Source organism: Homo sapiens, chromosome 7 (assembly GCF_000001405.40).
Source record: "Homo sapiens chromosome 7, GRCh38.p14 Primary Assembly".
NCBI lineage: Eukaryota > Metazoa > Chordata > Mammalia > Primates > Hominidae > Homo > Homo sapiens.
Genome location: NC_000007.14, coordinates 17,477,384 through 17,491,142, shown reverse-complemented (window position 1 = coordinate 17,491,142; position 13,759 = coordinate 17,477,384). Strand labels below are relative to the sequence as shown.

The 13,759-nt window shown below is 37.8% G+C and overlaps 1 long non-coding RNA gene across 1 annotated transcript in view; it reads left to right on the top strand.

The window, feature by feature from the left end:
• Positions 1–13,759, top strand: part of LINC02889 (long intergenic non-protein coding RNA 2889) — a 95,465-nt gene that overhangs the window by 67,767 nt on the left and 13,939 nt on the right. The window contains exon 2 of the long non-coding RNA NR_110013.1: positions 7,609–7,737. This is a non-coding gene — a long non-coding RNA (long intergenic non-protein coding RNA 2889). The remainder of the gene's footprint in view (positions 1–7,608; positions 7,738–13,759) is intronic.

Sequence of the window (13,759 nt, the reverse complement as noted above, 5' to 3'; positions counted from 1 at the left end):
TTTTATTGGCTTTGTGTGATGCTTAGCTTCTCAAATGGAATAGATAACGTAAGCCCTAATAAGCCCTTGTGAAGATTTTAGCGCCAATCTAAACGGTAGAAATCAAGGTTCCTGTTACTTTGAGTCCTTCTAAGAATTTCAGATACCTTTTATGTTTTCTAGCAGAGCTGAGAAACCTCAAGCGTTAGAAGATTTGAGGTGTGGCTCTTTCAGAGAGAAAATTTTGAAAATCTAGGTTGATGTTCCCAAAAGCTCCTAACATAAAAATACAGGCTTGACCTACACTGTGATAGCAAAACTCTAAAATTATCAAGTCCACTTCTTCAAAGGAATACATGTGGAAATATTAATTGTCATAAGAAGGTGAACAATCTTTTATAATATAAACAGTAAAGATAAGCTGTTAAGTACTCGTGATACATTGGTCCATACCTTTATGAAGGAATCCATAATTTTGAACAACATTAGACTTTGGGGGGCTGGGGACATTACATAGCAGCACATACATAAGCTCATTGTAGCTAATATATGCTAAATGTTATATAAGCTTATGTAAGCTAAGTTTTCAGGTGAAATTTAGTAGATAGCTTGTATGGTGAGTAGAAGGTGAGACACCTGGATGGAGGCGGAGGATAGGCCAGGAAAAAGAATTGAAAAAAATTATTGAACTATAATTTAGAGTATTACATTTTACCTAGTAATGCACTTGTACACCTCATACTTATCTGTATAGCTGAAACAAAAGTAATGATATGTATTCTATGTCGGATGCTTTCTGGTATTTTCAATTCTATTGCATAACATTAAATAAACACTGTATCCATCATAGAGATTTCACAAAAAGATAGTAGTAAAAAACTTCAGTTGGAAAGGCACTGAACTTGAAGGCGGTAGTGGGGACAAGCCTGGACAGGTGTAGAGGGAAAGGACAGTCAGTCTAGGGCAAATAGGATGAGGCTTGTGAGGCAATTTAAGTAGGTACTTACTCAACTTCTTAACACACCAACCCTTCACTTGCGACCTGCGAGTGAGTGCCTCCTTAAATTTTACTCCTTTGCAATTCACTGCATGCCCTAATCTCAGCTCTGAAGACCTTCCTTATAGGGACATACCCATTTCGTTCTGGCAGAAAAATGACATCAGAACCAGGAAGATAAGTGAGTTCAGAAAGAAAAATAGAGCAAAGATTTTTAGGGCAAACAGCAGGTAGAAAAAAATCACCCAATAAACCAGTTTGCAGCACAGTATTCCAGGGGGCAGATCCAAGTTAGAAAAGTCCAAGCAAAGAGGAGAGCTACAAAAACAAGAGGCTTAACCTAGAAAGGCTGGATGTTGCCAGTGCCAGTGATCTTCTGGCTGGGATGAAGCACTTCTGTTCCAGGGGCAGTAGTTTGGTTAGAGATTATGTTTTGTCGTATGTATTCCGAAACCCAATAACAGTGGCTTAAACAGAGGCTTATTTTTGTCAAGTAGCATCAAGTCTAGGGGTGGACAGTATAAGGCTGATACAGCTGCTTTACGGACCCTACCAAGGACTCAGGCTTCTTGTTCCATCATCCTTAGCATGGACCTTCGTCATCACAGATGCAATTTGGCCACGCCACCCCTAGCCTCACACATTCCAATAGTGGAAAGAGGAATAATAATAAGAGGAGGAAGAAAAGGAGAAAGCAACAAGAAGGGGACAGAAAAGACTACTTTCCTAGAAACCCTCAGCTGAATTCATCTTGGGTCTTCTTGGTCAGAATTATGTCATATGGCCATTCCTAGCTGCAAATAAGGATGAAGGATGTTGTTTTTTTAAACTGGGTACATTGCTGTCTCCCTCCCTTCACTAAATGCTGGAATTCTGGTAGCAAAAAAGGAAGAATGGATATGTAACTTGTATTGTTGGCCATATACAAGAGGAACTAATCCCAGAATGACCAACCCATGCAGAGCAGTTAATTGAGAACACCTGCTAGTGGAGGAAATAGGTGTTTGCATTGCCATTTTACACCTAAGAATGCTGAGGCTCAGAGGGTAAGCAAAGGGCAGGGCTCAGATAGAAACTCCAGTCTGTTTGACACTAAAGCCAGATTTTTTTTTTTTTTTTTTTGACACCGTGATACTCTCCAAGGGTAAGTCAGCATATATCAGTTCCTCTTTCCCAAGTTGTTATCTGCTGGCTCATTTGGCCAAATTTTCTTTTCAGAATAAGAGATAAAAACATCCATGAGTCTGTAGCTAACAGAGAGAGAGGAGGGCATCATGTTGGGAAAAATAACTCATCAGATTAATTATCCTGAAACTTAGATTCTAGAGAAAAGGGAGGCAAGAAAGAATGTCCCAGTGTTGCCACCTTTCTGGAGGTTAAGGAACCAGTGTGTCTGTTTCAGAATATTTGGGGAAGTTCAGTGCCAACCCCTGGGCAACAGCGTTTGTCCTATGTGATCCATGGATTAGGTAGATCAGAACCACCTGGTGTCTTCTACAAAATGCAGATGCTAGACAAACATTCCTGGCATAGAAAATCAGAACCTCTGGGGATGGGGCCTGAGCATGTGAATTCTAACAATATCCTCAGGTTAATTATGATGTACAATACACTTTGGAGTCGATTGATATTAAGTATTAATAGCATTTATTGAGCACCTATTTCAACAAGCACTGGATCAGACACAGATAGATATTGTTTAATCCCAACACCCTTGCAAGATCCACTGTCTTATTATGTTCAGGCTCAAAGAGATTAAGTATCTTTTCGAACTCAGTTGGTTCTTAAGTGGCACTGGGGATTCCTTCCTGGAGTTTATTTCAGTCATCTTTCTTCCTAGGCACCAGACTCATAAGAATAGGGAAGCATACTATATTGTTTTCTTTAGAGAACCCACTTAAATGAAGTTTCGAGGTTCATAAGAGAGTTGAGTGTGTAGCTAAAGAGAAAGACACATTAGACAAATACTGTGGTGGTGTGAGTTGAGGCAAGAGAATTACGGATGGAAACATCTCTCTCAAATGTCCATATTCTAACTTTGGAGTTAGGTTTCTCAGCCTTGCCATTATTGAGATTTGGGGCTAATTTATTATTGTGGTGGGGGCTAGGGGGCTGTCTTGTGCATTGTTTAACAGCATCTCTGGCCCCTCCTTACCAGATTCCATCTTCTCTTTCTTCACTGGTTATGACAACCAAAAATGTTTCCAATCATTGCAAATGACTTCTGGGGGCAAAATGGTCTCTGGTGGGGAACCACTGGGTTGAAGTATGAACCCTGGTAAAATCCCATTCTGGTGGTTTCACTGACAGAAAATTCTACTTATGCCCAGAGGCAGGAAACAAGGCCATGTGAGAGTGACGGGAGACCTGCCACTATATTGGGGTCTGCTGACTCCAGCCCTGAGGGTGCATGGTGAAGTAGGCCCTCTTCCTTTATTTGGGAAGGCTAACAATAGGGAAGGGAGAAGAGCAGGAAAACAGATACGCCAGAAATGTGCCTTTGAATCTGGGCTGAAACGGCAACAAAGAGGGCAGCAAAGACCCAGCAGAGAGCTCTCACTTGGCTTGGATATTGTCTTGTCTTTTCTGGGAGTAACTTTTTTTCCCTTAACAGAACCATTTCATCTGAGTTAGGAAAGCAGTAAATAATTAAGCTAATCTGTTTGTGAATGTGGTTCAAAGAAGCCTCCAGAAATGGTGGTTCTGTAATTCTAAAGCAGTGAAGCCAAGCACAAAAGCAAACCTTCATCAGTATAATGCACTGAATGTGGGGCTGGGAAAGGACTGACTTTAATTATTCACCCTCAACATCTGGAAGGTCAATTTGGCTTTTAGAATTTGATTATATTTAGGATTAGGGTACATTTTGTTGTCAAATGTTTCTAAGGCCACAACAGGGACAATGGCTTGCAAATGGGTCCATATTCTTACATATTCTCTCTTCCCGAACCAAGTTTCCACATCTTTCCTTTCTTCCATTTTTCATTTATCTTCTTTTACTTATTTTTTTTTCCTTCAATCCTTCACCTCCCACTCTCTTTGTTCTTGTGATTTTCCACACTTGTTTTCACTGTTCCTCCCTGGGGACTTTGTACTGACCAAGGATTTCCTAACCATTGATCTGTGGAAGCCTAGGCAGTCCATGGAAGATCCTCCCTGAGGTTTGTGTAACCCTTGAAATCATGTGCTGCATTTTGTGTGAGTGGGTCTGCTTTTTTTTCTATATAGTGGGTCCTTAGATTCCCTAAAATTCCCAGAGTCCTTGACCTGAAAGCGGTAAGAGCCACTGAGGAGCATTTGCTATGGACTTGCAGCATAGAAAGGGGAGGGCATGAACATGGCAGTGCCTTCTCTTTGGCAGGCTCATTGCCCTATTCTCTCATTTAATCCACACAGCCTCTATATAACATTAGGTGGTATTATTTTCATAGGTAGCTGAGGACGTGAAGACTTGAAGATGTTAGGTAATTGACAAGGATATCCAACTTTCAAAATGGCTCCATGCTCAGAATTTAAGTACTTCTTTTTGATACTTGCTCAAAAGCCTCTTGCCTGGACTTAAGATTGAGCCATTGATAATTAAGCAGAAATAGAAAGGACTTATATCCCCATGCTCTCCCCACCAGAGGTGGTAAAGAGAACTCAAGTGGGCTGTAACCAGCTTCCTAGAAAGAAAGATGATTAGAACAAGGATATTCTTCATTGCATTACTACAGTATTTTAATAGCCTACACTATAAATACCATCCATGCCTTCTGACTGCTATGTTAACACAAAGTGCTATACCAACACAAAAGGCTGATGGCAATAGATGTGAGAAGAATGAATTTATAATTCAGTTTCGCTAATTTGTTGGAAACTCAATTTTTAACATCTTAAATTAATTACTTTACAATACTTATTGCCAACTAACATGTAGTACACGTTAATGGCAGGTTTAAAAATAGTGAACCTTAGTTTTGATTTCACAGAATGATCCAATTTATGTGGCCCACTCCTGTCTGACATAAAAGGCTTATTAGAATGTGGTCACTTCTCTCAATTGCTTTTGGAAAAGAAAAAGATGACTCATCATTACTGTTTTTAGTCTTGAAAATTTTCTTTCAGTGTTTATTTGTTCTCCTTATTCACTTAATATTAGTGTCAAACATTTCCCCATGTTTCTGTCATTTCCATGTTGCTATATAGTCATTAGACTTATTTTAATGGCTGTATAATATTCCATTATGCTGATGTATAGTAACTTAAACAGTACCTTATTGCTGGATGTTTCAGTAATTTTGTATTTGTTGACAATTGAAATGAGTTGAAAGAAATCTCCTTGTGCAAATAGCTTTTCTCTTCTATTGAATCATTTTATTCCAGGGTAATAGATTGGCAAATCTATTTTGAGTCATGATGATTAACTTTTATCAGAGATTTTAAAAATGTGGTTCTCTTTATAAAAATCAAAAGCCTTAGAATTTTGTATACACTTTGACCCAGCAATTTCACTTCTAAAAATTCATTGAAAAGTAATTGTTGCATGTGTGTTGAGAATAATAATGACCGTCCTCACACTCATGTTGACTCTGTTCTGTGAATAAAATGGGACCCATTTAAAGATCAGGTAACAGGGGATCAATAAAATAAACAATGGAGCAATGAAATAGAACCTTTACTCTGCTTAAGGTTATTCTATAGACAAATAATAGTAACAGTAGATAAGAACAGTAGAATAACAGTAACTAATATTTATTAAGCACCTAGAACATGTCAGATATTGTGGCAAATTCTTCATGTCCTGTGCATTTTCATTTAACACTCAAAACCTGAAAGGATTCATTCATTCCATAAATATCAAATGCCTATTATGTGCTTGGTATTATACTAGATGCTGGAGATACAATGCCGAATACCGTAAAGTCCTATAGTTATGCTCCTAAGGAGTTTGTGGACTGTAGGGGCAGATGGACATTAATTCCATCCCTAGAAGAGAGGGAATGAGGGAGAGAAGGAAGGAATGTAGGAGCCTCTGTTCTCTGGCATCTCCATCACTCCTCCTTAGCCCCCAGTACTTCATCTGCTTTTCAGAAAGCATTCCTTGCAACTGTAAAAGGTTAGGGTGGGGCTAATTAGACCTCATTGATGAGGGCTGTGTAGACCTCATATGAAGTGCCCAAGGCCGTAGAGATGACTACCTGTGTTCAAGGTTGGGCTGCAACATGTAGTAGTAGGCAAGCTACCTTTTCTTTTTCCCAATTTCCTTGAGTAAAAAATGGGATTAATAAGAGCTCCTACTTTTAAAATTATGACAATCATTTAAGGTATGAAATGTAGTGCTCCAGGAAGTTTAGCCACTATTACTAGCTATATTGGTGATGATATGGTTGGAATCTAAAATTTTCCTTTTGCTGACTAGCATGTAACACTGTCAACTTTTATACCTTATTGCCAATTACTTGTTTTTTTTTTTGAGGCAGAGTCTTGCTCTGTCGCCCAGGCTGGAGTGCAGTGGTGCGATATCAGCTCACCACAACCTCCGCCTCTCAGGTTCAAGCAATTCCCCTGCCTCAGCCTCCCCAGTAGCTGGGATTACAGGTGCATGCCACCATGCCCAGCTAATTTTTGTATTTTTAGTGGAGATGGGGTTTCACTATGTTGTCCAGGCTGGTCTCAAACTCCTGACCTCAGGTGATCCACCTGCCTCGGCCTCCCAAAGTGCTGGGATTACAGGCGTGAGCCACCGCGCCCAGCCGCCAATTACCTTTAAAGGCAGAACCAGTGCAAAAACAACTGTTTGAGGTAGTATGTAGATATATATATATGTTAATGTGTGTGTATTCATATATATTGAATAGTATGAAATCAAACTTATAGTTGAAACTGTGGACACTAGATTCAACATAAGTTGTAAGTTTCATTATTAGAAGTGAGAAATTGAGAGTTGTGTATTATTCTGTTCCCACACTGCTATAAAGAATACTACCTGAGACTGGGTAATTATAAAGGAAAGAGGTTTAATTGACTCGCAGTTCCGCAGGCCTAACAGGAAGCATGGCTGGGAGGCCTCAGAAAACTTACAATCATGGCGGAAGGCACAGGGGAAGCAGGTGCCTTTTACACAAGTGTGACAAGAGGAAGTGCCACACTTTGCAACCATCAGCTCTCCTGAGAACTCACTATCATGAGAACAGCATGGGGGAAACCACCTCGATGATCCAGTCATCTCTCATCTAGTCCCTCCCCTGATATGTAGGAATTACAATTTAGATGAGATTTGGTTGGGGACACAGAGCCGAATCATATTAAGTTGAAAGATATGCATTAACTCTTGATAACCTAGTATGTTCCAAGCATTGTTTCTTAATGATGTAAATATCTAGATGTACAGTAGTCCCCCTATAACAGAGGAGGATTCGTTCCCAGATCCCCAGTAGATGCCAGAAACTTTGAATCGTACCAAACACTATATATACTATGTTTTCCCCTATAAATACACACTTTTGATAAAGTTTAATTTATAAATTAGGCACAGTAAGAGATTAACAACACTAATAGAGCAATGATAACAATATATTATAATAAAAGTTACATGAATATGCTCTCTCTCTCAAAAAAAATCTTAATATATTCTACTCACTTATTTTCAGATGGTGTCCTGGGTAGCTGAAACTGTGGAAAGCAAAACCGTGGATAAGGGGGAACTACTATACTGAAAATGTACAAAACAGAGAAGATTTCATTGAAGAAGTCTGCTGTTTCTGGAATGGGAAATTAAGGTAGGAATTTAGGAAAACGTTCTGAATTTCAATGCCACATGGCAGGGTGGTGAGGAGGAAGCTGGAGCCAGGGTTCAAGTAACTAATGAGTTCTCTAGTTGCTAGTTCTAGTTCTCTTTTGAAGAGAAAAGGGTTATTATTAGATAATTCTCTTTTCATCTATTATTTTTATTTTTATTTTTTTGAGATGGTGTCTCACTCTGTCGCCCAGGCTGGAGTGCAGTGGCGCGATCTCTACTCACTGCAAGCTCCACCTCCTGGGTTCACGCCATTCTCCTGCCTCAGCCTCCCGAGTAGCTGGGACTATAGGTGCCTGCCACCACCCCTGCCTAATTTTTTGTATTTTTAGTAGAGATGAGGTTTCACCGTATTAGCCAGGATGGTCTTGATCTTCTGACCTCATAATCCACCCGCCTCGGCCTCCCAAAGTGCTGGGTTTACAGGCGTGAGCCACCACGCCCGGCGTCTCTTTTCGTCTATAAAAGAAATATGTCAGAATAAATTTGTAGGCATTCTTCAGTCCAGAATTTTATGATTTTAGTATTGTAACTTGCATCATTGTTTTAATAATGAGAATATAATTTTCTAAAAGAATGGTTAAATATATTTAAATTGTCATACAGATAAAAATTGAAGCTCTCATCTTCTATAACATCATTGGTTCTTTTGAAGCACAACTGGAACAGTTATCGACTGTGATTCTTGCTGGGACCAATAACCTTCTACAAATACCAACATCAGTTTTTATGAAAGGCAAAGAGCTGACAGGTTTACAGACTGCACCCTAACATTAAGCTACCAGGAGAAACTTCCAAGTTACCCTCTTGTTACTTGTGCCCCAGAGGTGAACACTATAAACTGCTACAGCATGCAATTTAGGTAAGCATTCAGGTAACAACAGTGCCCATGATGAAAAAGATAATGACTTTTCACTGTCTGCAATCTTTCATTTGGGCGAACTTAAAAGGATTTTTTTTTAATATGGAAAAAAATCTTTCCTGAAATATAGTCAATTGTGTGATGAGGAATTATACAGAACATTTGTTTAAATTGAGATATAATTCACATACCATAAAATTCACCCTTTAAATGTACAATTCAGTGGTATACATAACATTATAAAATTAGATCATTTTAAATGGGTCTGGCACACAGTAGCCACGTCATACTTGTTAGGCTCATTTCCTTACATCAATACATTTTGAGCCTGAAATAAATGAAATGACACAGGAGATATCTGGGGTGGTTTTGTTTTCCATGACCCCCGTGGTATGCTGAAGCCCTCTCAAGAGAGCCAGTTGTCTGCATCTCTTCACAACTCTGTGTTGACTGACGCCACATAAATAGCTTGAAATAGGCCATGATGGGAATATTTATATCATGGAAACTGACCAGTGCTACAAAATCAGAGCTTTTTTATTGTTTGAGAGCTGATTGTTAAACTTTGACCGGCACATCACTGCTAGTGTATATCAATTTCTTCAAGAGTACAATTTATTATTATTCAGGGCCACATTTGGAGCCTCATCTCTTTGTCATGACCAACAAATTTAAATCCTCATCAACTGGAAAGAGGAAACTTCATCTGGATAAATACTATATTCATAACTAGTATGTTAATTCTATATTACTTTTGGGGGATGGTTTTAAAGAAATTTTTATTGCGATAAAAAACACATAACATGAAATTTACTGTCTTAACGATTTTTAAGTATACAGTTCAATAGTGTTAAGTGTGACTTATTAATTTTTTTGTCATCCATAGCATGGCTTGTACTATAGATGATGGGTTTCATTATGAAATGTCCAAATGAGTTTTGAAATTTCATTTGTAATGAGGTAGTTAAATTTTATTCTGGTCAGGCTTATGCTCTCAGAATTAGTTTTTGGCTGATTTATTTCTGGCTAGTCTTTCAGAATATCTTACAAGCAACTTTATATTAAGACGACGAGCTTCAGGGAATTTGGTAGCCAGGCATCCTGGACCTCCTTCCTAGAACACTGCAGTTATGTGATGCAGCTTGAATGACCCCTGACATCTCTGATTCTCAGGTCCAAATTCCAGATTCCTAGGAAAGTACTGGGATTCACCAAGCTTGGGCCCAGAAGACACAGCTGCATTGTTCTTATGCTTCCTCCCATAGTGATGATTTTGAAGGACATGCTGGTAGGGGCAGAGTTCAGGACCTGTTACTTCATATTAGAGAGATGCTGGGCAGTTAAAGCATCCAGTGTCTAGTAGGAATGGTTTTCATATCAGATGATAATAAATGATGACTTTAAAGAAAATATTTCATCAAAATAGTTGGTATTTAATTAGGGATATTTAGAATATTGCAGCATAATGTAGATAAAATTGGCATAAAATTTCTGTAATCTTAAAAAGAGAAATAATAGAGTGAATTAACATAATTCATTTGGGACTGTATCTGGTTAAAATTTTAGTTGTATAATCATACAACTAAATTATACAACTAAAGTTGTATAATCCTTGGGCTTACAAAGGGACTGTTCTGCCTGACAGTTTCTGGTATGATTTAAGCCTAAACACATGTATTCTCAGATTGTTCAAATGAGAAAGGAGGTTTCAGAAAATCTCTACCCCATTTAAAGTGGACAAACTGTGATAGAAATAGTTGAAGTAAATAATTTCTGGGCACTCGAGAGTTTACAATGAGGCCTGGTCTTCTTCCAGCCTATGTTTCCCCAAGAGGCAATTAGAGTATATGAGATAGCATGGAGATTGGAAATGTGAGTCACTTCTACCGTTTTTACAGTATTTATTAATTATATGATCTTGGGGATTTCACTTGATATTACCTGAGCCTCAATTTCCTGTCCATAAAACACAATAATATCTATTTGACACTGTTGTTTTGAAAATTAAATAATGTATGTGAATATCCTTGCAAACTATGTTGTTTGCATACATATAAAGTAATGTAAATTAAAAGTAATTGTAAAAACCACGATTACTTTTTCACCAACCTGATATTAAATACTTTTACTCGGTTTTCAGTTACAGGTTATCTCCCTCATGTTTAACCAACCACTTACACATATTTAATGTCTACAACTTCCTCAACCATTTTTGGCACTCACTATGTGGTGGATACTGTGCCAGTTTATTGGAATACTAAGATCTATCTAAAGTAATCCCTGTTCTCAAGTGGCTAAACACAAAACTCTTTGTATTGAATATAAGTGGTTGTCATCAGTGCTTGTCTTATAAAGCCATACCTGAAAAGCGCTAACAATTGAAATACCAGGATTTTGCACATGTTCTTCACATTCAGTGGGCTATAGGTTATGCAATCCTTACAGTGAAGAGTGTAACAAATAGTAGGCTTGAGAGATGGCCTCTCCTGGAAGGATATTTCTGGAAGAGGATTCTTTGTGGCACTTAGGTTGTGTAAGTGTATCTTCATTAGTGATTGTGCGTCTTCTATATAACATAGAGATTTTAGTTTATCAGAAAACACGCTTCATCCCTTTTAAAAATCCAGATTTATTTATGTTGATGACTACAAATTAATCCATTGAGGTGGACACTGTGATACACCACCAGAACTCCCTTGCAAGCTTCAAAGACTTATTCCTCTAGCTGCCTGGAGTGCCACAAAATACCACACACTGTGTAGCTTAAAACAAGAGAGATTTGTTCTCTCTGAGTTCTGGAGGGTAGAAGTCCAAAATCAAGTTGTTGGGAGGGCCTTGCTGCCTCAAAGACTTTGAGATGAGAACCCTTCCCTGCCTTTTCCAGCTTCTTGTAGCCCAGGTGTTCCTTCACCTGTGGCAGCATCAACCCCGATCTCCACTTCTGTCTTCGCATAATGTTCTTTCTTCTGTGTCCCTGTTTCCACGTCTATGTACAAATTTTTTCCTTTGATAAAGACACTAGTCGTAGTGGATTAGCATCTTCCCCCAATTTAGTACAGCCTTAAACGAAATACCTTTGCAAAGGCTGTATTTCCAAATTAGGTTACATTCACAGGTACCAGGACTTAGTACTTGAATGTATCTTTTGGAGGGACAGGATTTAATTCGTAATATCCTGATTATTCCTCTATAGTATTCTTATTAATTAGACGTTCCTATGGCACTTTCAATAATGGTTCTGGAAAATTTAGTTTTGTATAATCACATTCTATTTATTGAATGTATAGTCAAGGGAGACAGCAGTGGGCCGACTCCTGGCTTATAAAACAGCTCAGAAACTAATAGCCTTAACTGAACTCACTAAACAGAGTACAAGAAGAATATGTTTTCTGTTCTAAGGACCAAGAACATATCTTGAACCCTTTGCAATTTTGCATCTCACTCAAGAGTGTGAATCTACTGATTTTTTTTTTTGAAAGGATATTTGGGAAGAATGTAAATGCCCTTATTGTGACTAAATGTTACAAGGCACATTCTGGAGCTATTTCGTAGTGTGGTACTTTGAACTATGGCATACAAAAACAAGTGTCAATGCCAGAAGGCTACCCCCACAAAGTGACATTTGGTATTATGGAGGATGAGTTAAAGCTACCATCCTACCAGCCACAGCAGAAGCTTCCCCTGTAAGGGTCACAGGAGTCCCTTGCATCTTGTCTGTCATCTCAGACAATGTGCCAACTGTGCCTTCGGGAAGTCTGTTGGCAAGGAAGCCTGTGATATCTGCTCCCAGTGCTGCAACGTGATCTTTCTTCTTTTCTCTGTTTTTTTTTTTTTTTTCCTACAAAAAATGGCAATGAAGACATCTATTGAGGAGGGGAATGACATAACCCATTGCAAATAAAATAAATTTAATGAACAAGACAAGCTGATCTGGAAATCAAGGGATACTATAGTGTTAGATGAGGCTTTATACTCATAAATAGTTATGTGTTTTGGTTTTGTGTTGTTTTTTATTTTGTTTGCCTTTTAGAGCATATGGCAGCATCCTCTATATTTGATAAAAATAAAATTATAAAAACTGAATAAGAGGCATAAAGGAACTTCTAAATCTGAAATATCCTAGGATATATATAATAAAATGTACTGAGCCTTGAAATTCAGAGCTAAATAGGAATGATTGTTTATGATTTTTGTCATGGCTTGTAGTGGTCATTAATAGTGACAGACAAGGCAAGAACTTATCTTTAATTGTGCTGGATGGCTGTTTGTAAAACTTGAAACATCTTCTGATATGTTAAGAGAATATGTGTATTCTGGACTAGGAGTTGATGTATGAATTAACAACTTTGGGCTATAATATAGTGTGAATTACTTTCACCAAGAAAAGAGATGTTTTAAGAGAAATAACTGGCTCTTGATATGTGAATACTTAGTTTGAGCCCCATTTTAATACCTCAAGTGTAAAAGAATAAAAACCATATGGATTACATCTTCCTTCAAATATCCAAGTCAAGAAAATAAAGAGAATATGTGCTTGACAAAATGATTGAACGTATTTCAAGTTAGTAATACAAATTTTGGCTGATTTAGCTATTTCAAATGGATTTCATGCTTCTATTTGGGGAGTTTGTTTTCTGTCACTTATACTATAAAACAATTATCTATTTTAGAAGCACTACAAGTATCATTTCATGATACTTAAATACATTCAAATGTCTCCTTTCATTCCATTCTTTTCAATGCTATGCATAACAAAACTAAAAGGAATGCATATAGCTTATTCAAAGTACTAAGGGTTTAGAGTGTTTTAACTAATTTTTTATCTCTATTAATTTATAAATTCCTCATCTTCATCAAAGACCACTTGTCTTAGATAAATATATTTACAGTCCTTGCCTGATAATTCGACTCCAGCTTCAGATGCTTTTTTCAAGTTACATCTGTTCTTGGAACCATTTTTTTCTTTATGTCCTTCTTTGGTCTTCCAGTTTGAAAACACTCTCTATTATTCAAATACTTCCTAAAATACGACATCCTCCAATAAAGTTTTTAAAAACTACTTAGACGACACTTTTATGGCCAATATAAAAATACCATTCAACTATATAAGAGTTTAAGATTTGCCAGGAGGAGACTCATGGTT